Source organism: Homo sapiens, chromosome 11 (genome assembly GCF_000001405.40).
Source record: "Homo sapiens chromosome 11, GRCh38.p14 Primary Assembly".
Classification (NCBI taxonomy): domain Eukaryota; kingdom Metazoa; phylum Chordata; class Mammalia; order Primates; family Hominidae; genus Homo; species Homo sapiens.
The window spans coordinates 94,581,271-94,606,943 of record NC_000011.10 but is presented as its reverse complement, the minus strand read 5'-3'; the positions used below and the strand labels follow the sequence as shown (position 1 = coordinate 94,606,943).

Sequence of the window (25,673 nt, the reverse complement as noted above, 5' to 3'; positions counted from 1 at the left end):
TAAAGGACACAAAAATACACTTTTTTAAAAAAAAGCTGAAGTTGAGAGTATGGATATGAGTGGGGGGTGGATAGAGAAGTTTCAAGTCCCCTGGCTTTTTTTTTTTTTTTGAGACAGAGTCTCACACTGTCACCCAGGCTGGAGTGCAGTGGCACGATCTTGGCTCACTGCAACCTCCACTTCCTGGGGTCAAGCGATTCTTGTGCCTCAGCCTCCCGAGTAGCTGGGATTACAGGCGCCTGCCACCACGCCCGGCTAATTTTTTCTAATTTTAGTAGAGACGGGGTTTCACTATGTTGGCCAGGCTGGACTCAAATGCCTGACCTTGTGATCCACTCACCCCGGCCTGGCCTCCCAAAGTGCTGGGATTACAGGCGTGAGCCACCGCCCCTGGCCTACTCCTACTTCTTATCAGATGCTTTCCGCACTGAAGGGCCTACCTCCGCCTCCTTCTCATCTTTTATTCTCCACTTTCAAAAGCCCCCAAATTGTAGAAAAGACATGCACTGTCAATGATTAGCAGAAGAAAACAAAGTAATTTTTCCACCTATAGAATTATTTAAAGTCACAATGTCAAAAGCTAAAATTATTTACATTTAATTATATAAAGTGAAGAAAAATATTTTTAAATTATCAGCAAAAGGCTCTTAGAGGCCTTCCTTCCTTCCAATTCATGAGTTTGGCTCCAAGCAAGAAAAGTGGTAGAACAAGGCAGTGGCCCAATGGGCTGAGAGAAGATGGGAGCCGAGTGAGACTGGTTCCACACCAGGGGCTGGACAAGTAAGCAGGTATGCGGGGAATAACAGGAGCCATGCAACATACATTTCCTAGCTATGTCCATTGAGAAAGCCTGGGGATAGCAACAACCCAGTAGCAATGAAGCACACCAAGTGCCCCAAATCTTTGTATCTAAATACTATTCTCTGCTAAAAGGAATCAGGACTCCTGGGAAAGATATCTGATTCCAGGGCGGGGAAGCAACACTGTAAGATGAGCCTGGAATATCTTATTTTGCCAGAAAGTAAGAAAGTGTTCCAAGAAAGATGGAGACACATGAAAAAGACACAGAAGCCAGCTTGAAGGGGAATCCCACTGGCAAAATCAGGTACAATATTAAGAGCAACAAAATAAATAATAAGAGTAATGGACTATAACAAAATAGGAATCTATGAGTCTATGCAGATATAAAGAAACAAACGAATAAATGGGGAGAAGAGAAAGTTCTTCCTATGCCACCTAATAACTGTAGAAGGACTGATGGAATGGAATACTATCATTTGTTAACCATCATAATAATGATGGATTCAGGCAAGAATTATAATAGATGCTAAGACAAATGGGTAAAAGTTTGATGAGGAACAGGATTATTTATATAGTCTCAAAATATCTACATATGTACACATGCAACTGATAAAGCTTAACTTTACAGTGGAGAAATCGGGCAGATGTCACCATAATCCACCATACAGTGGAGTGACACCTGGTAGGATGCACTTAGAATATAGGATCATTGCTGTGCTACTCTTGCCAAAAGTGCATAACATGAATTTAATCATGAGGAGACATCAGACAAACCCAAATCGAGGGACGTTATACAAAATAACTAGTCTGTACTCTTCAAAATTGGAAGGTCATCAGAGTCAAGGAAAATTAAAGAGCTGTTCCAGATTGAAGGAGAGACTATAGAGACTGGACAACTAAGTGCAGGACAGTAGAGCCTTTTCCTACAGAGGTGACAATTGAGACAAATGAAGAAAACTGTTTCTTAATTTTGATGATTGTCATATGCTTCTGTAAGATAGAGACCTTGTTTATAGAAAATATGCACTGAAATAGTCAAGGGCACTGGGGCATCATGCCTGTAACTTATGCTCAAATAGTTCAGCAAAAAAGATAGAAAATAATAAAGCAAATATGGTAAAAGGTCAATAATTTGGGATTCTGGGTGAAGGGTATATGAGAGAGTTGTTTGTACTGTTCTTGTCACTTTTCTATAAGTTTGATTTAAGTAAAAAATAAATGCTCTTAGGGTGAGAATTCTCTGTTTCATATAAGATCCTTTAGAGTAAAAGAGAAACTCACTAAAAGAAAAGCAAAGAGATAGCACTTAGCTAGTTCAGTTAGTTTGCATGACATAACAACAAGAATGTTGGATGTTGAACTGAGTGAGCGAGGGAGGTAAGAAGGGTAGATGGAATGGACAGGAAAAGCCCTACAATAGCCTGGGGGTGCTGAGGTCTGGTAGAAGAGTAAACATTCCTGGGAAATAGGAATCGTTGAAAGATTTTTAAGAACAGGGATGTCAATTCTAATTTTTCTGGAATGTTGGGATGTGATGTAATCATGCCTTGGCCCCAAACAGTCTGCAAAGTCAGCTACACACACATGCCCTTTGGGAAATGAGGCAACTGTGGATGTCCCACCAGGTGATGCAGCACCGGAGGAAGTGGTCCTCTCTGAAATGCACAGAAGGTGGCAAGAATTCACAGGAAGCAGGAATTTGGGGCCATAGGTCACTTGGAAAAACCTAACCCTCCAAGAATCCCCTGAAATATAGGGAACACTGGATACCAACATTTATGTGATGAGGTGGGAGTCAGTTTATCTTAAATCTTAAGGAAAAGATGACCCCAATGAGTTGCAAAATATGCAGACACCAATGGCTGTTATAGGGGTAACAAGAAGTACTGTATTTTAAAATTAATATTAGAAATGTGGAAAGGAAATAAAATATTGATTAAAATACTAAGATTAATATTTTCTTCGGTGCTTTGGAGAAATGCATGGCAATTTGCAAATATATCATGGGAGGGTATGTTCAGACTGTAGATATAAAGCAGAACTAAAATTATAGATTAAAGGAGTTCAAAAAGTATCCTGTACTTACCAGCTGAACATCAGGATCAACATATTGCTGTATAGCTCTAACAAATGCAGCTGGATTTTCTTGTACTTTTATGCTACATAAAAAGATTAATTTTGAAGCTATGTAACTTCCTTCTTAGTAGCACATACTTATATGGCATTAGAAATAATACAAATAAATTTTCATAACAAACTAGTAGTTTTAGGAAAAATTATTAGAGAAAATAACCTTTTGAGTCTAAAATTGTTTCTTAAACTACAAAATATGACAAAAACATTTCGCAATAATTTTTACAGTGTAAAAAATGGTTTGGTAGAAAATCAGATCTTCTCAATTGTCCAGAATCCCTATAATCAATAATTCTGTTGTTCAAAATGGGGTTGAAAGTGAACTTTTGAAATCCCAAGTCTCACAGTATCAAATGTCTGAAAGAGTGTTCAAGCTCAACCAGGATTAAGATTTCTGTAAGAGTGAATTGCTATAGGAATCTAAAAATGAATGTTTCAGAAAACATCAGGTTAATGAGACCAAGATATTCAGCTAATTTGCATGATTTAGACAAAAATATCTTTATTTTCCTTAGTGGTTGCTTGTCTGGAGCCTGGAATGTCTAGCCTTAATCAGCGCACAAGTACTTAACAATTATCTGTTCTGTGCTTACATTATGTTAGGGGCCAGCAGCTCCAAAAGTAATTCTCACACACATAGGAATTTGTAAAACTAGTTTCTTTATGTAGAATCAGCCTCTTTTATGTGTATATAAGTGAACTGTCCCAATGCCCAGCGGCTTTTTAAAACTCGCCCAGCAGGTGACAGGACCATCAACCCCATGACTGCAGATACTAACAGACCTATGTGACTGGCTGGCCGAACCGTCTCAGCAACTAGATGGTCCTGACTCATCCAATTCAAACTCTCGCACTCTGACTCTGCTGCACTTACAGTCCACTCCTAAAATCATCAGGTGAATGTTTTAGAAGACAGAAGCTATGCATATAAATCTAACAGGTAAATGGATACTTCATGGAAAAAAGAAGGTTGAAATAAAATACGAGCTTTCAAATAAAACAGGCCAAGGACAGAACATAGCAATGGGCTTGTTCCAGAATTCACATGAGAAAGAGCCTGTGATGTCAGCCCAGGATCTGCGGACTGTGGCTTCTTTCATAATCATTTCCTGCTTTATTAGCTCATGGGTTTAGAGAAAGTAGAGCGGGTGAAACTCAATCCAGGCTATTTATTAACAGATTTGATAAGAGGAGAGTTCTAAACAATGGTGTTAAATGAGACTTTGGGATTAATACTTGTGCTGCTGATGCAATTAATTAGTAACTATGTGTTTAAAGAATAACTCCATTATAACAAAGAAAAGTATCTGTTCCTCTTTTCTAAGCATATCAGTTTCAGTAAAATGAGGCATGACCAACTTTATGGCTTTTCTAAAGCAAAACAGTATTTATTTTCAGTGTGATTGTATATGTATCTCTTACTCAATGAAAAACTATTTATTTATCTTTCTCATTCCCAGCAACTGGCATAGTATCTACACATATTAGTACTCAATAAACATTCTAAGAATAAATGGTTGACCTTAGTCTTATCAGAAAACTCTCTGAATGACTAATAGTATGCTACAGTAACAGAATCAGAAAAGCTTATTTGAGATCTATTTTCATATTAAATTTTAAAGCATAAAATCAAGTAAAAGTCAGGACATGCAACTTCTGTTTTTTAATATCCATTTCCTATTAAGTAAATAACTGATATGAAAAACTGATCTGAAAGAAGGAAAAACAGTTGAGAAGACAATATATGGACTTATTAAAGATTTATATCCCAACTGGTACTGGAAAGATTTTCAGGTAATGACACTACTGCTTAAGAACTGGGTACAAGTTTTACAAAGGCCAACATAAAATATATTCTAACTTTATAAAAGTTTAGTCATTACAAAATCTATCTACTTATGACTACTTTCTTGGCACTTTACATTAGGAAACTACTGGGATAAAGAAGCTTTTGTTGATACATCTGCCATTATTCCCTACCTTCTAACCAAACCAAATTAATATATGAACAAAATTCAATGTATTCTCACATTTTGGGGTAGTCCACATTAAATCCCATGGAACCTGCAACTCTTCTCAAGCAGTTCAGAAAGCTCTCGGCAACATATTCAGTTCTGTCGCTACATAAAATCAACCAGGTATTCAAAGACTGTGCATTTAAAATCTTGCAAGTTCGAATATCCTTGGACCAGTCAGCAGCAGACACAGGTTGACACTGAGAAAAATAATGATCATGAAAGGATTGAACAAATTTATTCAGAGAGCAGCTAAATAAAGACAGTGTGAAGATGGCCAACTTTTGTTATAACTGTTTAACACAGTTTGCTATTCAGTCTTAAAACACAGATGCAGGCACTGCACATCCGAACAGAATACATGTGCTTTCTGGGAGTGGAAGCATCTGGGCGTCATCCCAGGTCTTCCAGGCACTGGTGGCCCTTGGAGGTCCCTTTAACCTCATGATTCTCTGCGGTGCACAGAGAATGGTGTCTGATTCAAAGATCTCTGAGGTTCCCTTCCAGCTCTGAGTATCTATGCCTTTATTATGAATGACTCAGGCAAACAGCCTGTATCATTTTATCTTTTACTTTAAGCATCTAAATATCTCAGAGAATGCTGATTATCAATACTCTAGGTCATCATAATAAAACTAACACACCCTACAGAACAGTTAAGTGTTGCAAGAAGTCAGGGACCCCAAACGGAGGGACTGGCTGAAGCCATGGCAGAAGAACATGGATTGTGAAGATTTCATGGACATTTATTAGTTCCTCAAATTAATACTTTTATAATTTCTTATGCCTGTCTTTACTGCAGTGTTTAAACATAAATTGTGAAGATTTCATGGACACTTATCACTTCCTCAATCAATACCTTTGTGATTTCTTATGCCTGTCTTTACTTTAATCTCTTAATCCTTTCATCTCGTAAGCCGAGGAGGATGCATGTCGCCTCAGGACCTTGTGATAATTGCATTAACTGCACAAATTGTAGAGGATGTGTGTTTGAACAATATGAAATCTGGGCACCTTGAAAAAAGAACAGGATAACAGCAATGTTTAAGGAAAAAGAGAGATAATCTTAAACTCTGACCACCGGTGAGCCGGGCGGAACAGAGCCATATTTCTCTTCTTTCAAAAGCAAATAGGAGAAATATTGCTGAATTCTTTTTCTCAGCAAGGAACATCCCTGAGAAAGAGAATGCACGCCTGGGAGTAGGTCTCTGAACTGGCCCCCCTGGGCGTGGCTGTCTTTTATGGTCTGTAGACTATAGAGGTGAAATAGACCCAGTCTCCTATAGCGCTCCTAGGCTTATTAGGAAGAGGAAATTCCTGCCTAATAAATTTTGGTCAGACCGGTTGCTCTCAAAACCTTGTCTCCTGATAAGATGTTATCAGTGACAACGGTGCCCGAAACTTTATTAGCAATTTTAATTTCGCCCGGTCCTGTGATCCCGCCCTGCCTCCATTTGCCTTGTGATATTCTATTACCTTGTAAAGTACGTGATCTTTGTGACCGACACCCTATTCGTACACTCCCTCCCCTTTTGAAAATCCCTAATAAAAACTTGCTGGTTTTACGGCTTGTGGGGCATCATGGAACCTACCGACATGTGATGTCTCCCCTGGACGCCCAGCTTTAAAATTTCTCTATTTTGTACTCTGTCCCTTTATTTCTCAAACCAGCCGATGCTTAAGGAAAATAGAAAATAACCTATGTGACTATCGGGGCAGGTTCCCTGATAGTTAAGATTATATATTAAGCTAGGAGTAGGTATGCTTAGAAGCAAAGATGAAGCCAGGATGGAGACTCCTTTCTCACTCTCAAAAGGTCTCTCATGTGACCAGGAAAAACAGGTTTCCTGCGCTGAAGAGGGGGAATGTTAGCCTGCTTCCCAGACCTCTGCTTATATCCTCAGACTATAATTGAATGATGCCTTTGGCACAGCAAGTGGGGAAGATCCACTGTTAGAACTAAAAGGGACCACATTGTATGCTAATCTCCTGCTACTTGAAGTGCTGTCAAGTGTTACTTGACCAGCAGCTTGAGCACTGCCTAGAAGCCAGTTAGAAATGCAGACTCCTGTGCACCACCCGAGACCCACTGAATCAGAATCTGCATGTTAACATGTCCCCCAAGTAATTCACATGTACATTAATATTTAAGAAACATCCCAATCCTCTTGTTTTACAAACTAGAAAGCTGTGACTGAGAGGTTATGAAACCACTTGGCAGCAGCGACAGGTTTAGAATGCTGGTCTCCTGACATGGCAGCCAGGGCACTTGTGACCAAGCACTCTGACTTATCTGACTTCCAACCATCAGCCATCCTCATGATGCCTTCCACTGGCTGGGCTGGATTCAGCCCCAGGAGTCCACCTACCTCGGCCTGAGAGCAAAGGAGAAGGGCTAGCTTTCCATCAATGGCTCCCTCTGGAGTCAACGTTCATTCCTGTCCATTAGGGCATGAGGAGAGCTGTACTCCTTCTGCCCACAACATTTCTTCCTGCTGTTGTCTTATGGGGCTGGGAGGAGACCCAGGACAATGTACCCTGAGTCCTATGAACTTTTAGTTCATTCAGTTCCTAGGACCTAATTTCAGAAAAGCAGAATGGGCCAAGAAGTTGATGATATTGTCATCTTAGACACCTGCTACCTCCAGTGCATGAGTTCTCCTGTTTTAATGCCCTTTCTCCTATGGACACCAGTTTCTACACCAAAAAAATGCAAACAAATACATAAAAATGAAAGGCTCTGGGAAATACGACTTTACTTATAGAAATTATGAGATGGATCATTTTAAGTACATAAGTCCTTCTTCACATGTGGATCTGAAACTGAGCTTCTCTTTACTGAACTCTCGCCAAGATCCTAATGGGAGTCTACATTTTAGTACTTTACCATAAAGTTTTGTTTTGTTTTGTGTTGAAAAATAGTACTTCCTTATCTTCTCCAATGAGAGTTTTTGTAACTTGGATAGATTATTGTAAAGATATGACAAGGCCAGGCATGGTGGCTCATGTCTGTAATCTCAGCACTTTGAGAGGCTGAGGTGGGAGGATGGCTTGAGCCCAGGAGTTCAAGGCCAGCCTGGGCAACACAGGGAGACCTGGTTTCTACAAAAAATACAAAAATTAGCTGAGCATGGTGGCGCACGCCTATAGTCCCAGCTTCTTGGGAGGCTGAAATGGCAGGATCGCTTGAGCCCAGGAGGTTAAGGCTGCAATGAGCTGTGATCATGCCACTGTGTTCCAGCCTGGGCAACAGAATGAGACCTGTCTCAAAAAAAAAAAAAAAAAAAAAGATGGAAAAAATTCCCCCCATTCTACCAACATGATACATTCATTGTTCAATTATATCAGTTAGACATACTGGTTTATTACACCCAATAAAGGCAAGAAGAGAGCCTTTAAACATGACATGTGACTGGTGTTTTAAAGTGGGCAAAACGGAGGGGGAGGGGAGAAAGATAATGTATAATTTTTGCGTAAAATATTAATAGGTTCATTTCTTCAGCCGAAGTCTGGAAGTGGCGATGATTTGTCTCTTCAGGTTTCAGAATGCCTCTCTCCCCAAGTACTATGTCTGGGGCTGGGTTCTGTGCATACTTCTTGATTTTAATGTCCATTGAGCAGTGTTTTATTTCGAAAGATTAACATACATAACTGACATGGCAACTAAAAGTCATTGCAAAAGCTCATTGCAGCCTTAACCTCCTGGGCTCAGTTTTGGTATCAGAAAACAATCTATTAGAACTAATGTCCACCAGCTAATAGAATTTCCTCAGATGACTATGGCTTTCTTTTTTAAGAGCAATGCACCACCCAACAGAAGATAGGTATGTTTTAATTGCAATGATTTGAAATACTGTCTTCTGACTAACCTAAATCATGTCCACTGGGTGCCGCTAAGTCCGTGCAAGTAAATTCAGATTGAAAAGGAAACCACAGGGGATCTGAAGTCTTAGGATAAAGAGATGGAAGTACATGGCCAAACCAAATATTATAAGCACACAAGCCACTCTGGCCAATGCACAAAACTTACACATATTCAAGTAAATACTTTTAAATGAAAATAAAATCACAGCACTTACTATGTGGTCTTGCATTAATATTTTTTCTGAAGGCACAATCCGGCCAGTCAGAGATATCTGGCTTCCAAAATGCAGTCCCCAGGTCTCTAGTTCAAAGCGAGCATTGGTATTCCTGTTGATAAAGTTGTTTTAAATCATTAAAGAGAGATATAATTATAACTTACTGAATTCGTCAGGGGCTGATTTTCTGTGTCTTCAGGATTCCTGGCTTCTAATTCTACTCAGCATATTTTTTCCCTGCTTAAAAGAATTACGGGACAACTGTGCTCATTTGGGATGTTCAGGAATGGGAAAAGGATTCCAGTGGGAGTACAGTGGTTAGAAAAATAAGCTTTCGAGCCAGACAGACCTGGGTTTAACTCCTAGCTCTAACATTTAATAATATATGACCTTGAGCAAACTATTCATCTTTAAGGCCTTGGTTTCCTTACTGGCAAAATGTAAGGATAATAAAAGCACCTACTTCGTAGGATTGATATAAAGATGAAATATGATAATGCACAGAAAGTGCTCACCACAGTCCCTGGCACATGGCATGTGCTCAAAACCTATGAGATATTATCATTCCTGATAACACACTCGTTAATAAGGAGATATTTTGGAGCCAGTGGATGTGGAGATGTCTTTTGTGAATATGTGAATTTCTTGGGTTGAGAGTCGAAGAAGGATGATAAAAGAAGGGAACATAAGAATGTAAGCTTCAGAAGATTCAGGATCTTCCTATTACCCTCTCTATCCTATGAGGAGAATATTAATATCAGCAATAATAACACTGCTTTCTATTGTGTAGTACTTTCCATTTATAACTTAATAAGCTTTAATCATAGTTGATGTTTTAGCTCATGGGAGTATATGATAACTTCCACTGAGCCATAAGCTCCTTGAGAGTGACAACCATATATAGGACTCAGCACACAGTAAGCCAGGCATTTGCGGGACATGGAGGAGATCCCCACGCTTTTGTTTCCCTATTAAAGCTCTACCAATTTTTTTAGGGAAGCTCAAACCTCTTCACCACTGTCTCTCTGCAATAGCTCACTATTTCCACCTATTCGGATTATGTCTTCTCTGGTCACACTAATTCCTTTGAGTTAATTATTTTGCTTCAGATACCAACTGCCCAAGATGAGATGAGTGAGGCCATCATTGGTCAGGAAATGGGGTGAGGTGTGTGGTACTACTGAAAGGTGGCAGATAGATGCATCAGGAAGATTAATCCACAGTCACTATAAGGGAAACGAACCAGGAATTCCTTCTCAATTCGGCATAAGTCTGAGGGACGTCCAGGGTAAATGACGTAAAGTATATCCATGAAATTAAAAAACTATGAAAACACTAGCATGATAATAGAGATCATGTTTATCATATGGAAATGTTTGAGAAAAACCCTGAAGTGAAAAGAGCAAGCTACAAAACATGACGTACAGTATTATACCATTTCTCTTTTAAAAAATAGGATTATATGCGTTTGCAGAGTCTGAAAGAATATTACTAATATTAATTGAATTAATTATTAATTCAATTGTGATTCACTCATTTGTTAAATATTTACTGAGTAAACACACATACACACTCTTTTCTCTCTCCTTTCTTTGTGCTACGTAAGTTTCCAAATCCTCCATGAGCTAGTACTACTTTAAAAAAGATTTAAGAAAAAAAAAAAAAGACTGTTGATCAACAATATAGCCCAATAGGAATATAAAGCAAGCTACATACATAATTATAAATTTTCCAGTAAAAATGGAAAATTTTTACTTCCACCTTAAGAAAGTAAAAAAATGACAAGTGTGAAATTACGTTTTAAATATATGTTATTTAACCTATTTAACCCAATAGATTAAAAAACTGTCATTTCTAGATGTGTCACTAGCCACATTTCAAGTGCGCAGCAGCCACCCTAGATAGTCCAGTTTTAGAGGGTCAGAAAGGAAAACCAAGGAGAAGCTCAATTTTCCAATCACATGTTATAGCAAACTGTCATAAATAAGAACGGAAACATAGTCTGATAATCAGATGGGCAGAACCAGATGGCACAAAGGTATATCTCAAATTTAAAAGGCACATAGTGGGGTTTTCCTAAAGTTCAGTCTGCTGAGGCCATTGTAGTAAGAGCTGAGCATTCCTGACCCTTAATACTGGGGGCCTGGTGTTTTTCTGGTTGCTTTGTTTGCTTGAAGGTTGTTGTTATTGTTTAGATTATAACCTTTTTCTTTATTCAACATTTTATCCAGACTTCAATGTATGAAATAGATGAAAGCAGGGCATGGAGGTAAAGCAAGTGTTATTCCTATCAGCATGGCCTCCAACTCCCTTCAACCCCTTAGTCCTGAGACATCTCAGATGAAGGGCTGTGGACAGCACAATTCAAAAGCTCCTTGCTCTGAATCAATATGAATGACACATTTCCTTCAAGGAATATATCAGTGTTACATAGGCCATCTAATACTAAAAACTCAGCCCCAGGAAGGATGCATGCGGTGATCCAGTACCTCTGGATGTTGTCCACAAGCCTGGCCAGGCGCTGCTGCCGGCCTGAAGGACTGAGACGTGTCTTTTCAGCCACAGCCTTCATCAGCTGGAAATCAGATGTTGCCTGGTCAGTCAGCCCTATTAAATGCAAATGAAGACAAAGTGAGAAAATGAACATAAGCAACTCAGCCCATCAAAGGCCCAGTTTAAACCTTTCCACTTGAATGCATTCACCATCTGTATAGCACATCCAATAGAAATGAAAACCACGTATGTCATTTTAAGTTTTCTGGTAGCCACATTAAGAAAAGGCAAAAAAGAAACAGACGAAATTACTTTGAATAGTGTATATTATTTAGCCCAGTATATCCAACATATTATCATTCCAACATGCAATCAACATAAAACATTTATTGTTGAGGTAGTTTCCTTCTTTTTTTTCATACTAAGCCTTTCAAATCTGGGCTGTGTTTTACACCTAAAGCACACCTCCTCTCAGTCTTTTAGTAGAGCTAGTCCCAATTCAAGTGTTCAAAAACTCATGTGCTACTGGCTACTGTATTGGGTCCTGCAGACCTACAATATCAGAACACCATTAAGAATGAGCACCCCTTAGGCCGGGCGCTGTGGCTCATGCCTGTAATCCCAGCGCTTTGGGAGGCCGAGGCGGGTGGATCACCTGAGGTTGGGAGTTTGAGACCAGCCTGACCAACATGGAGAAACCCCGTCTCTACTAAAAATACAAAACTAGCCAGGCGTGGCAGTGCTTGCTTGTAATCCCAGCTACTCGGGAGGCAGAGGCAGGAAAATCGCTTGAACCCGGGAGGCAGAGGTTGCAGTGAGCCAAGATCGCACCATTGCACTCCAGCCTGGGCAACAAGAGTGAAACTCCATCTCAAAAAAAATAAAAAGAATGAACACCCTTCCCTTCAAGGATTATATCCTCATTAATTTTTCTTTCTTTCTTTTCCTTTTTTTTTGGAGACAGAGTCTTGCTCTGTCACTCAGGCTGGAGTGCACTGGCGTGATCGCGGCTCACTGCAACCTCCGCCTCTTGGGTTCAAGTGATTCTTCTGCCTCAGCCTCCTGAGTAGCTGGGGTTACAGACGCGTGCCACCGGGCCCAGCTAGTTTTTTATTTTTAATAGAGATGGGGTTTCACCATGTTGGCCAGGCTGGTCTCGAACTCCTGACTTCAGGTGATCCGCCCGCCTTGGCCTCCCAAAATGCTAGGATGACAGGTGTGAGCCACCACGCCGGCCCTTCTTATTAATTTTTCTAATGGCAAAATAGATATATACACATCATAACTGACTCAAGGAACACACAAATGCAAAACGTAGAAAGTCTTCACTTCCTAGGCCTACCTGTTAGTCAAAAGAACATTGTTAAAAGTACTCGAGGCAGTTATTCAGATTTTACTGTATAATGAGGATTATATTCTGAAAATTCACGCAAAAAGAAAGTATGGATCATTCTGGCACCACTCTACTGATACACCTGAAGAAAATCTGAGTCACATTCCTTCCTATACTAGTAAATTCAAATAATGGCAAAGAGAAACTTGGTTTTAGGATGATATCAGGGGGTCTATTTTACATCAAAGTAATACATGGAATATATGAGATAAAGGGAATCGATTCCCCCAACATGTCTCTATTATTGAATAAATTACTTAAAAGGACCATCCTCCATGGGTTAAATCGATGTCCTGGCATTCATGTAACTTAAAGAGGGTCTGCCCACTGCCAAGCATCAGGGGCCTGTATCCAGGAGCCTGACAGAGGTATAAAACACAAACATTACCTGTTAGAAAGCAGAGCTCAGGTATCAGGTGGGCGAGCTGAGCCTCACTGTTGTCATTTCTCTTCTTCTTTAACAGACTAACAAGCATGGGCTGATTCAGGTCCGATACAGTAATATCATACTGCTATAAAATGCAAGATTAATAAGTAAAAAGTTAACATGGAAGCACCGCCAGGTGAGCATCCTTACATTCAACAAGGTGATCCTAACATTAATATATAAATAAATCTAACCAATCCCATAGTTACCTACTTATTGCTACTTTCTTCCCAGGACCTATCTTTTATATCTGAGGGCCAGTTTTATTATTTTAATTATCTTTTCTAATGCAACACCATTAAAAATATCGTTTCCCTGCTGTCTCTTGGTTTCAGCCAGATTCAGAATAGACTCCAGCTGGTTCTACACATAGTTCAATGACATCACTGGGACTGACTCAGAGCCAGCATTTCTACTACTGATGACTGAGGTAGACTGCCCCATGCTTAACTATCTGGCTCTAAACATCTATATTCATTTTGAAAATATCTATACACAAGCTGGAGGCGAGTTATATTGAGACAATCTCAGATTTCCCAAAACAGCATGACTGTCCTTACCTTCTAGGATAGTAGGATGTTACGGGGAAGCAGCCCTGAAGTCTGACAAATGTGAATCTGATCCCCAGCTCTTCTATTTGCTTGGGCTGTGACACTGGGGAAGTGACTTAACTTTCCTCATCTATGAAATAAGGATAACAGTAGCTCACAGGTATCCTGTGTAAACCACTAGCATGGGGTCTGGTTTATAATGAATCCCCGGCAACTGTTAGTTCATATTCCTCTCCCTTTACCATCCTAAACTTAAGTTTCAGCAGTCTCACCTTGGCAAAAGCTCATTTACCCTCTAATGACAAAGGTTACAATGAACACTCATTTCCATTATAATTTAATCCACATTAGTGACAGAACAACTGGAATTATAATTTACAAAATGCCTGGGTATTGTGACACTGAGATCAATAATCACAATAAAAGAAGTCAAATGTGAGCATTTCTATATTTCAAGAAAAACTTTGTCATTAAAATAAAAACCAAGTCAAGAATCTCATTTGAAAGTAGCAGGTGCAACTGATGCTATGGCTAAAAAGTTTGGAGAAGCCTTTATCAAGTGAGTTTGTATGCATGACTCCATTAATTTAGAACACATGGCGTGCTTACTGTGTTCCAGGAACGGCAGTGGATAAGAAAATAAAAGAGGCACAGTCCCTGCCTTTCTGCATCAATACATTATCTACAAAGCGAGGTCCACAAGAAGCACAAACAATGCTTAACAAAGCACGATAAAGCACAACAAACTGATGAAAGAGATACTATTATTGTCCCCTTTGCAGATGAGAAAACACTGTGAAACATTAAGCAATCTTCCCAAGGCTCCATAACTGGAAATTAGCACAGCTAGGATTGATCTGTTAAGACTCTGCTTATTATACCACTCAGTACTGGATCCCTGGGCTGGAGTGGGAGGGGTGGGGAGGAAAAGGAGATGGTGGTAGTGACACAATTATGGCTGGCAAATCAGGGAAGCCTCCATGCAGGTGGAGACCAAGAGAGGACCTTGAAGAAAACATGGGAGTACGGATAGTCTCAGGTAACAGCTCCAGCAAAACAAAGGCATCTTCCAGGAAGAAGGACTCTAGCTGGAGCATGGTCAAGAACTCTAGCCCCTAACCTGCTCTCACAAGGTAAATGTGACCCTCTCCCTTGCCCCAATTTTCTTAGCATTTGAAAATACTTTGTATGATAAGATAAAATAGAGAAATATAAAGGTCAATATCAGGATGTCTTCCACTTTGAAAACTGACTACATAATAATCAGTCTTTCTTTCCTGGGACAGGGAGGAGGGCATACTAGAAGCTGTCACAGTTTTCTTTCTTTTCCTCCCTAATTACAATATATATGCAGTGAAGCACAACTCATTTCAAAAAAACAGTGACTGGGATTTTTACCATGATTCCCGTTTCAGAATGTCACAGGTCCTAAAATACTTCTGTTTAAATATGAACAAATTTAATCATGCAAGAAAGAAACCCAAATGTTTAACAAACTGTTGGTTTAATAAACACAGAACACATTTTATGCACAAGATGTTTTGCTAGATACTATGCATCAAGGATTAGCCAAACACCATCCTTGCTCTCCAAGGAATACGTGTTCAAGAAACAATGTGATGAATGCACAGGTACTTAGAAAGGAGAACAGCTTGCTCTTCTACGTGTGTGACAGAAAGCAAAGTCAGAGAGGACTTCACACTTGGCCTTGAAGCTAGGATTTGACCTAGGGGTAAAGGAGAAAGGTACAGCGTGGCTTTCTGCAGATGCCTAGTGAACACACACAAAGGCTGAGGAAGGTGTAGGCCAGTGAGTGGATGGGGTGATAAAGGCATGGGGTGCATAGGAGGGATGCTGAGAAATATAAGAAAGAAAGAGGGGGCCAAACTATGCAGTGCTAGAGAGGAAGAAGCAGAGGATAGAAAAGGAGGAGCATGGTCTCCACTGTTCTCCCAGTGCTCACAAAGTGCAGGCACACTTCAGTGCTCTGTGTGCATAATTATCTTACTCGGTTCTTACACTACACCATGAAGGTAGACAGATAAACTTCCTTTACACATGACACTCTGGGTTTAGTGATTTACCCAGGGTTACACAGCTGGAGCCAGGACCATCTTACTCCAGAGCTTATGCTTGTAATCAGATTTCTGGGCAGCACTTCAGAAAGATCTCTCTGATGGCTGTGAGGGTGAGGGATCACAGTGAGGAGAGAGCTAGGGCATAAAGAGTGACGGTAGTGGGAGGGGATCCACGAGATGGCCTGCATTAATGCAGTGGGAACAGGGCTGGCAAAAAGAAAATTCACGGATAAAGGATACAGAACTCGTCTTGGTGACAAGTGAATGAGGAGGTTAAGGTGAAGAAGAGGAAGAAAGCAAAATCATTCCTATCTGAGCTACAGAATTTCCAAGGAGAAACAGGAATGGGAAAGACAATGAATTCAGTCTGAATTATATTAGTTTGAGATGCCTGCAGGGTATTCATGCAAATATGTTCTGGAAATGGAGATGAATATGTAATTTGGGAATGAGGGCTAGGCAAAAGCACTATATTTGAGCCATCTCAAAATACAATGAAAAGGTTCTATATGAGGGAACCATGGTGAATAATGGTTCCTTTGTGAGGAAGGAAGGAGGAAAACGTCAAAGGAGACTAAGATAGAACAACCTGAAAGTAGCAGAGAACCGCAGGGATGTGTCCCAGGAGTCAAGGAAGGAAGAGATCAGTTCCAGCCGGTGGGAGAGGTCACAGGTATCAAATGCACTGAAAGCCCTTTAGGATAAGAACAGTAACTGAACTTGACCTTTCTAGAACTACTTCTAAAGCAGCATAACTGGATACCAGACTGCTGAGGTTTCAGGAAGGAAGAACAGAAAAGGTGCTTGGAGCTAGTGTAAATGACTTTCTAAAGTTAGCTAAGGAGAAAAAGAGCTTTTCCTGAAAGTGTACAATGATCAAGAAAGGGTTTTTGTTTTTGTTTGTTTGTTTTAACCTGAATATTACTATACATTAAAGAGAAGGTGCTTTCAAAAAGAATTGAACATGGAAGATGAGGGGTAAGGATAACTGTTGCAAATGCGGCTAGAGCTTCTAGAGGCAGCAACAGATTCCATCAATAGTTTCTTGAGTATCTAATATGCGCAAAGCACTGAGCTAGTCCTGGGAATCCAAAAACAAGGAGCCCCCTCCCCAGAGCTCAATGTCTAGGATGGGGCTCAGACCATTCGTGTGGTGCCTGTGATGACCTGAGACAGGGAGGGGATTCTGGGAGGAATGCTTTGGGGCTCCCTTGAGACTTGATGGCTGAGCTGAGTATGCAAGGGTGTCTAGTGTTCGTCTGGCTGTGAAGGGGTATCCAGGAAAAAGAAGCAACGTGTGAAAATGCACAGGGGAGAAACTGAGTCATGGAATCACAAGAGGCAATTACATCAGAGCCAGGGAAGGGAGCAGGGGAATGGGAAGAGATGAGGCTTTAAAGGCAGGAATTGGCCACATCATAAGGAGATTTGGAAACTCTGCTAAAGGGCTTACAGGTGGTCCTAAGGCAATAAGGAGACATGGAAATGTATTAGCGTTGCGAGCAGTGTGATCAGATATGCTTTAAAGGGAGATTACTCAGACTACAGGAAGAAGGAAACAGGAGATAGGATGAGGGTCAACAGGAGACTGGGAGGGTGGGGATGAAGGAGAGAGACAAGTCAGAGAATCAGGTCGGAGGCAGACTCAGCCTCCAATCTGGGGGACCTCTGAGACTTGGAATAAGGAGACTTCTCTGAGGTAAAAGAAAAGGAGATAGAGATGCATGAAGAAAAGTCCTACCTGCTTGTAGTAATCCACATAGGTGATCTCGGTGCCATCCCGCTTCTGAAAGGTGTGTGTGGGCTTCACTGACCAGTCAATGTCATCAATGGAGTAGGTTCTGTTATTGTATCTGCCAAATATAAAAAGTCTTTAAATTGTTTTTTAATCATCTAACATAAGCAGCTACTTCACCACACTTTTAATTCAACACATAAGATAGACTCCAGAATGTCAGAAATTATGAAAACAATAAAACAAGAATATTCACTTTTTAAAAAATACTCAGCTCTTATCTGAAAAGGGCATTCCTTAATAATTTCCTATACAGGAAGACTTCTGTCCACATTCCAACAAAACCTGTGGGAAAGTCCTTAGACCACAGTCTAGTTTTCTCACTGATAGATACTCTAACTTCAGGTAAATCATTCTTAAATGTTCAGAGGCTGAAGCATTGCTCAAAACTTTCCCATTATCTTCTGGTGTCACTCAAGAGTTTCTGACCTCCCAGGTAGTTTTTCTGATTTAAAAAAGCACCAAAAGAAGGCCAATCAACCCACAATGCTGGCATCTTGCTTAACCTACCCGCTAGGGCTGGCCCTTGGCAAAACTACAAAACAGGTTAGCTAAGATTACTCTAAGCTCCTTCTCCCCTTCAGCACTGTGTAGCCTGGACTGTCCTCTCAGGATGACCTAGCCTAGGGGCAGAAACTACCACAGCAGGTTTCTCTAGAGCTTTTGATTCTTTCCAAGATGACTTTGAAATGTGATAAGCTAATCCATCAAGATCATGACAGGAGGATAAGAGGGTAGCCTTCTCATACCGAGTAGTGTGGAATCCAGCCAGTCCCACCCCTCTGCTATATATCCCAGAAAAACAAGTTTAAGTGGAAATTCTAAGCCAGAATAGAAAGCTAACAAGTCCCCTAAAAGAAGTATTTTTGCAGCCATAAAAAGGAACAGGATCATGTCCTTTGCAGGGACATGGATGGAGCTGGAAGCCATTATCCTCAGCAAACCAGGGCAGGAACAGAAAACCAAACACCGCATGTTCTCACTTATAAGTGGGAGCTGAACAATGAGAACACATGGACACGAGGAGGGGAAAAACACACGCTGGGGCCTCTCAGGTGATAGGGTCGGGGGGAGGGAGAGCATTCTGAAAAATAGCTAATGCATGCTGGATTTAATACCTAGGTGATGGTTGATAGCTGCAGCAAACCACCATGGCACACTTTTACCTACTTAACAAACCTGCACATCCTGCACATATATCCCAAAACTTAAAATAAAAAATTTTTAAAAAGTGTTCTTGGACTAGCAGCAGTATATGTGAGCTTTTTAGTACTCAGGAAGTCATCTAAATTTTCCGTGTTTAACTCAGCTCAATGTGCAATGAGGGCAAATTTTATATACATAAACCTAGAGGTTGCAAAGAAGTAAAATGTGGTCTCAACTTAAAAGACTCCTGAATCTAATAAAGAAGGTGAGACATGGAACTAACCTTCTGTCCTGTAAAATGAAATAAGATGGCCACAACAAGGTAGCCATAAGCAAAGTGCTATGGGCGCCGCCCAGGGGAAGAAACTGAATAATTCCAACTAAGTAGGCAAATGGAGGTGTCAGAAAAGCCAGGACATTAGAATTGAGCTTTGTGAAAACTGAAGTTTAAAAGGCAGAATTTGGGGAAGGGAATCCAGGCAACTGAAGTGAACTGAATTGAACTGAACTGAAGCATGCAAAGTGCAGACCGCTGGGGGTTAGAATAGAGAGTGGCATTAGGGGAAAGGAGGGTACCGCAAGCGAGAATTTGGAGCTTGTGGACAGTCCAGAATGCCACACAAGGACATGTGAACTCCAGACAGCAAAACAACCAGGTCTTCTAAACAGATGAGTAAATGGATTAGATCTGTGATATTGGGCCAATACTCCAACACTATTCCTATTCCCAAATACCATCAATGATTGATTTCTGAAGAAAAGTTTATTTAGACGCAGGCTTGTACCTTGTAAGGACAATGAGCCCTATTAGCTGCTTCTCACACGTCTGGGTGAAACAGGACAAGCCAGTTCTTTGACAGAGAGCAGTCATGAATTCCAGAACCGTCTCATTCCGGAGGACTTTGTAACTCACATCAGCACTAAACAGGAGCTTCCTTTCAAAATATGACACAGAAATGGCAAACCCAGGCCAAAGGGATAATCTTTAAAAACAAAAAAGAAAAAAAGGAATATTGTCAATGTTATACCGGAAACACAATAAAGATTTTTAAATGGTGATTTTCTGTTCTAATTCTCGAGATCTTAACAAGATAATTTTTTTCTTTAGTCTGATTTCTTCCAGTTGTTGACTGAAAACTTTTTTTCAGCTGCAGTGTCTTTAAGCATACATTTAGGATAAAATACCTTACTGTAAAGCAGTTTCTCAGCTTTGGCACCACTGACATTTTGAACTGGATAATTCTTTGTTAGGGACCGTCCTGTGTACTGTAGGATGTTTAGCAGCATTTCCCTGGCCTCTACCCACTAGACGCCAGTAGCAGCCTCCCAGCTGTGACAACCAGAAACGTCTCCAGACAATACAAAATGTTCCCTGAAGAGGGGGGGGAAATGTCCCTGCCTGAAAACCGTAACTATAGGAATAATACATTTATGGAGTGATCTGTCCCCGCAGGAAAACATCTAGGTTCAGAAAAGCACCCCAATTCAAAGGTGAGGGCAGTGGATAGATTTAATGACGAGATTAAAAAATACAAAAGTGATACCACAAACAGATATACAAGAGAAACCGGAACACAGCCTACAGTTTCTTCCCACATAAACTTAAAAATCTTGAATAAGAAGTTACAGAAATGGCATGAAATAATAGACTACTATTTTAAAAAATAATTCCAGTTTATATTTTGTGGACTATTAAGTAGACACTGTGATACTAAGCCAGCCTCCGGGACAGGCATATGTGCTGAGCACCTAGGGCAGTTTAGTACAATCAGCACCTATGAGATTTTCTAATCCGGGTGGACAGATTAGTGACAAGGACGAATTGGGTGCTTTATAGAGAGCACGCTGACACTCTGAATGAACATATGGAAACTCCGTCATTTTTCCTCCACCAAGCAGAAGGCCAAACACCCTACTCCCATTTTCTATCTTTTATGCACTTCTCCCTTTATGAATCTACGTTTGGGCTACCAGTTGCCTCTCTGTCTATAGTTTGACCACAGTATTTTTGAGAGCTAAGTAACAACCAGTTCAAGACATAGCTGACCACTTTCCCTGAAGCCTCGAATTCCCAGTTTAGGTAGAAATTCTGCAGGTGTTCATAAGGATTCTATCCTTCACCAGAGTTATTTGGTTGGCTTCTCTTTCTGACCCGCGCTGCCCTGCCAATTTCATGTCAACCACTCTGGCTGTGCTAACAACCTTTCAACAACAAAATACAGCTCATCCTGCTTTCATTATTACTTATTACACACAGAAAATTCAGTTTCTGAATTCCTTCTAGGATTTGTGATAATTATCTATCACACTAATATAAGAAAACAAAGCTGCTAGCTTCACGTTCACATGAACCATTTTATTAAAAAAACTTGAAAATTATAAAAAATTCATTACATTTCATATCACAGAGTCTCTCACAGGAGGCATAATGGTATAATATTGCATCATAAATTATGTTGCTCACATTATAATAATTTCGGAGTAACAGAAAATATAAATAAACCTACTTGTGCTGGGGAATTTCCATTGGCTCTGAAGGATTATAGAAGTTCCGTCCAATTTGGTACATGGACAACTTTTTGAGGATCCTGCAAGTATATTTTTTTGAATTTTTGGTAAATATCAGTCAGTAACAGTGTAATTCTAAGTTCAAACCCTTACTGAACATAATGTTAAAAATATATAGGAAATACAGACCTCTCATTCTCACAGGACTGCAAGGTTTAGATACTAAATATACATATGAATGTCTATAAAGAACTATCACTTCTTCATATTTGAGAATACTACAACTGAAATTATTTTTATCTGTCTGGGTTTAGCTGCAGTGACAAATATGTGGTCAATTAGCCATTATGGGTAGTAACATTCTGGTTAGCTTGGATGGGGTGAGATAAGCCATGCCTGCAGGCCTTTTTGACCTCTTCCCTACTTGGGGATGAAGACCTTATTTCTTTTTCTTTTTTTGAAATGGAGTTTCGCTCTTGTTGCCCAGGCTGGAGTGCAATGGCGTGATCTCAGCTCACTGCAACCTCCGCCTCCCGGGTTAAGCGATTCTCTTGCCTCAGCCTCCGCAGTAGCTGGGATTACAGGCAAGAGCGCCACCACGCCCGGCTAATTTTGTATTTTTGGTAGAGACGAGGTTTCTCCATGTTGGTCAGGCTGGTCTCGAACTCCTGACCTCAGGTGATCTGCCCGCCTCTGCCTCCCAAAGTGCTGGGATTACAGGTGTGAGCCACCGGCCCAGCCGAGGATCTTATTTCTAATGAGGCTGCTCAGGCTCCCCAGGTACTGCCAAATGACCAAGACTGTGTCTTCAGCAAGTAATCCTGGTCACCTTAGGAATTTGACCTACATGGGGGTTTCAAGTCAGGAAACGCGTTTCAACTGTGATTTTGGCTGCCAAATGTCACTGAGCCTAAGCCCCTTTCTCTTAAAAATAAGGATTTTAATAGCACTTGCCTCGGGTTGCTCTAGTGAGGGTAAAGTAAGATAAAAGACAAGTGAAAGAACTTTCTCACTGAAAGCATCTTCCAAATGTCAGCATGCAAGACTGGCTTCTGAAGAGCTGATATGCAGTAAGCTGAGGCTCAGATATGACCAAAAGGTGCTGGACAAGACATCTGACTGGAATTAGGAATTAGGACATCTGGGTGGGGGAAGTTCCTGATGTGCTCATACGACTCAGGAAATCCCCAAACTTCCCCATCTTCATGCCTTCCAGAGGTCACTGTTGAACAAAGAACTTGCCTGTAAGGTTTCTAACAGATCATCTTAATGATCCACACTAGCAGCATGTAAAACAGTGGTTCTCAAGCTTCAGTGTATCCTAAAAATGTGAATTTTCAGGCCTATCTGTGAACTTCTGTTTACTAACTAGATTCAGTGAAGGTCCAGGGAATATGCCTTTTATGGAGCTCCATTCCACCCCTAAGAAGACGCTGGAGTATGTGATCCTTAGACCAGTCTGCAGAACACTGAAGAGCTGAGCTACAACCATGTAGGTGTGGGGGAAAGAAATGGGCTGAGGGTGGAGCCAGGGCAGAAAGCAGACAGTGATCTTCTTTCCTAAATCAATCGGCTAGGAGAAAAACAAATTCTTCAGTTTATTAAGCCAAACTTAACTAAGTTTGCTAAATGAACTTTTAAGTCTGGGAAAAGACACAGAAAAAGAAGAAAAGGAAAAGGGTACCCTCCCTGCTACCAGTGAGACAGCAATAATCCCCGTATTATTTGTCTCAACTTAGGACAATACTGGATATTAACAGTCTGTGCCACTGAGTGGCTGTAATGGGCTGCATTGCACATTATTGTTCATGTAGGAGAAGGTGCTTGAGAAATTGCCCTAACGGTGGCATCACTGCTGGCACACTGCCTACAAAATGGTCGATTATTTTAATACCCAGGCTCTATGCTGAAAGGTATCATTAGCCCAAATTAAATTCACATTTCCAGTGCCTTACTTTCTGAAGATGATATTGAAGACCTGGATGCACACGGGAGAACTTGATGGCAGCTCCCTCTTCAGGGTGATAGTCATCTTTATAGTCTCACCTCTTTGAGTTTCACTTGACAACTCTGTGACCTGGGAAAAAGAGGTACTTAATATGCACCCTACAAATTATCCCCAAGTGTGCAGAATGCAGATTATAAAGCCATCACAATGTAATATGCATTAACAAAAACAAAACTGCAGGTGTTAGTATGAGTAATAATCTAATCATCACATTATGTTCAGAGGGCTTTTTTTCTCTGTATCTTGCCAATCCTAAAAAAACAACACATCTCTCTACTCTCTAACTTCTTAAGGGAGAATTAAAGCCAGACTCATGGTTCAAAGTTTGGTCCAAAGAGAGTTCCAGAGCAGTGGTTCTTGATTTTTCTAGGGAGCGGGAGGGAGATGGGTCACAAATTATTTTGAGAGTCTGATAAAAGTTAGATATTTCTCAATAAAATTTCACACACACACACACACACACACACACACATATATATATATACACACACCACAACAGTGTACATAATTGTACCCATTTTCAGGGTATTCACTGATACTCAGAAGCCCACTAGTGGACTGTCCTGCCCATCCCAAGTTCATGGATTCCAGAGGACAGCCTCCCAAAGTCTGTTTATAATGTAGAAGAGCAGAGAACAAGAGAGAAGGAAAGAAAGGAGAGAGGATAAATGAGAGGGAAAGTAAACATGGGGAGAGAGAGGAATAAGTGGTGGAAATTAGAACAGATCAGAAATCTGATTTTATAAATTGCTGAAAGGTCTAGAGAAACCTAGAGTCCTTATAACTTGGAACAATGTTCTAGCAATATAATGAACACATGAATATGATTCTATAACAGCTCCCACTAAATGTAAAGCTTCTTGAACCAGAAAGGACTCAGAATAGGTTCTTGAAATAAAGGAATATACAAATCAGTCAATAAATATCAATCAATGATCATGGATTTTTCAAAGGGATAAGCAATTAGATAAAGTCAGCTAATTAGCAAGCATTTATGTATTCTGCCTCTACTTTCTACAGCTACAGTATGGTTGTAACCACTTTTAGATTGCATCAAGAATGTAAGGCAGGAACCAGTCACTGCATGGAAACAAAGAGAAACTGATCTTTTCACAGGGATGTAAGATTTCATCGAGATAATTTCTTGCTTCAGATAAAATTGTACAGAAATCAGAGGTGGACAGCTATAGAAAGAGCTCATCAACATGGGGAAAACTCTGGCAGACAGAAGGGATGCCCACCTCTCAAACTGCTGCAGGGGCTTTGGAACAAAGGATTAAGACAACAAAGGATGTCTTAATCCTTTGGGATGAGTGGTTGAGGGGAGGTGGCAGCAGATGGTCTCAGGAACTGCATTTTCAACAACCACCTAAGAGCAAACTCTTCAGCCCCGCCTTGTACCTCTCCCACCAAACACCCACTCCTGTTTCACTTCCTACATCTCCTATTGGACCTCAGACCCTCCAGTCCCCAGGCTGCTAACCTCACAGTAAACTTTCATTTCTCCTCCTCAATTCACAATCTAATCAGATGGCAAGTCTTATTGTATCTACACCAGGAATGTCTCTGATCTATCTCAGCTGTTCCAATACCATTATTTACCACAGTGCTTAAGAGCACATGATGTGGAATTGGATGGACCCTGGTCTTCTGCCTCTTACAGCTGGTGTGATGTGGAACACCTTTCTGATACTGAGTCTAACTAAAGTCACAGGGTTGTGACGATTAAATGAGATAATGCATTGATTTTACTTCCATCCATTGCACAGGCACTCAGGAATTCAAATAAATAGCAGCACTTTGTATCTCTTTTCAAGCCCTTTCGACACCCTGCCCACACTATTTCAGTGGCACTTTACTACTCTTCCCACCTCCTTCTGTAAACCATTCAATAGGATGTGATCAGAGTAACTGTAATTTAACACAGCTGCCATGGAAATGCTCTCCAACGTCTTCAGTGATCCATGGAAGAGTCTCTGTTCCTTGGCAGGACATTTAAAGTTCTCTTTACCTTTGAAATCACAACTCCCACACCTTCCTAGCTAAACCTGAATGAGCAAAAGTTTCTAAAATATGGCCCTCACTTCCCATCATTGCATGTTTGCCTCTTCTGCCTAGGAATCCCATATCTCCCATTGTCCACCTCACTGATCAAAATCCTAAACAAGGAACTATCACTCTCGCTCAGGTGTCCTGCTAGAAATATTCTTGCCTTTCATCAAGCTCTCTCTGACAACCTTGGGCAA

The 25,673-nt window shown here is 40.6% G+C and overlaps 1 protein-coding gene and 1 long non-coding RNA gene across 4 annotated transcripts in view, besides 4 other annotated features; one reads left to right on the top strand and one right to left on the bottom strand.

Annotated features, from left to right (window-relative positions):
- PIWIL4-AS1 (PIWIL4 antisense RNA 1) overlaps positions 1-25,673 on the top strand; it is a 195,024-nt gene that overhangs the window by 133,412 nt on the left and 35,939 nt on the right. The window contains exon 5 of one of the 3 annotated variants that reach the window (NR_135096.1): positions 13,379-13,477. The exons of the other annotated variants lie outside the window; for them this stretch is intronic. This is a non-coding gene — a long non-coding RNA (PIWIL4 antisense RNA 1). The remainder of the gene's footprint in view (positions 1-13,378; positions 13,478-25,673) is intronic. 3 annotated transcript variants of the gene reach the window in all.
- Positions 1-25,673, bottom strand: part of PIWIL4 (piwi like RNA-mediated gene silencing 4) — a 54,054-nt gene that overhangs the window by 14,478 nt on the left and 13,903 nt on the right. The window contains exons 5-13 of the mRNA NM_152431.3: positions 23,375-23,496; positions 21,419-21,499; positions 19,697-19,894; positions 17,712-17,823; positions 13,303-13,426; positions 11,518-11,635; positions 9,029-9,140; positions 4,965-5,149; positions 2,888-2,960 (exon numbers count right to left, since the gene is read on the bottom strand). Of these exons, the coding sequence (NP_689644.2) occupies positions 2,888-2,960; positions 4,965-5,149; positions 9,029-9,140; positions 11,518-11,635; positions 13,303-13,426; positions 17,712-17,823; positions 19,697-19,894; positions 21,419-21,499; positions 23,375-23,496 (1,125 nt within the window). The remainder of the gene's footprint in view (positions 1-2,887; positions 2,961-4,964; positions 5,150-9,028; positions 9,141-11,517; positions 11,636-13,302; positions 13,427-17,711; positions 17,824-19,696; positions 19,895-21,418; positions 21,500-23,374; positions 23,497-25,673) is intronic.
- Positions 3,818-4,037: an enhancer, noted in NCBI's record as "active region_5405". NCBI's record gives its function as "activates an Ori minimal core promoter by ATAC-STARR-seq in GM12878 lymphoblastoid cells {active_cell/tissue: GM12878}" and the evidence as "EXISTENCE:reporter gene assay evidence [ECO:0000049][PMID:35858748]".
- Positions 21,855-23,054: an enhancer, noted in NCBI's record as "P300/CBP strongly-dependent group 1 enhancer chr11:94317056-94318255 (GRCh37/hg19 assembly coordinates)". NCBI's record gives its function as "activates an origin of replication core promoter dependent on BRD2, BRD4, P300/CBP, MED14 and CDK7 cofactors, with strong dependence on P300/CBP, by STARR-seq in HCT116 cells {active_cell/tissue: HCT116}" and the evidence as "EXISTENCE:reporter gene assay evidence [ECO:0000049][PMID:35650434]".
- Positions 22,439-22,748: an enhancer, noted in NCBI's record as "active region_5404". NCBI's record gives its function as "activates an Ori minimal core promoter by ATAC-STARR-seq in GM12878 lymphoblastoid cells {active_cell/tissue: GM12878}" and the evidence as "EXISTENCE:reporter gene assay evidence [ECO:0000049][PMID:35858748]".
- Positions 22,495-22,695: a silencer, noted in NCBI's record as "peak1400 fragment used in MPRA reporter construct". NCBI's record gives its function as "represses an SCP1 promoter by STARR-seq MPRAs in K562 erythroleukemia cells {active_cell/tissue: K562}" and the evidence as "EXISTENCE:reporter gene assay evidence [ECO:0000049][PMID:32103011]".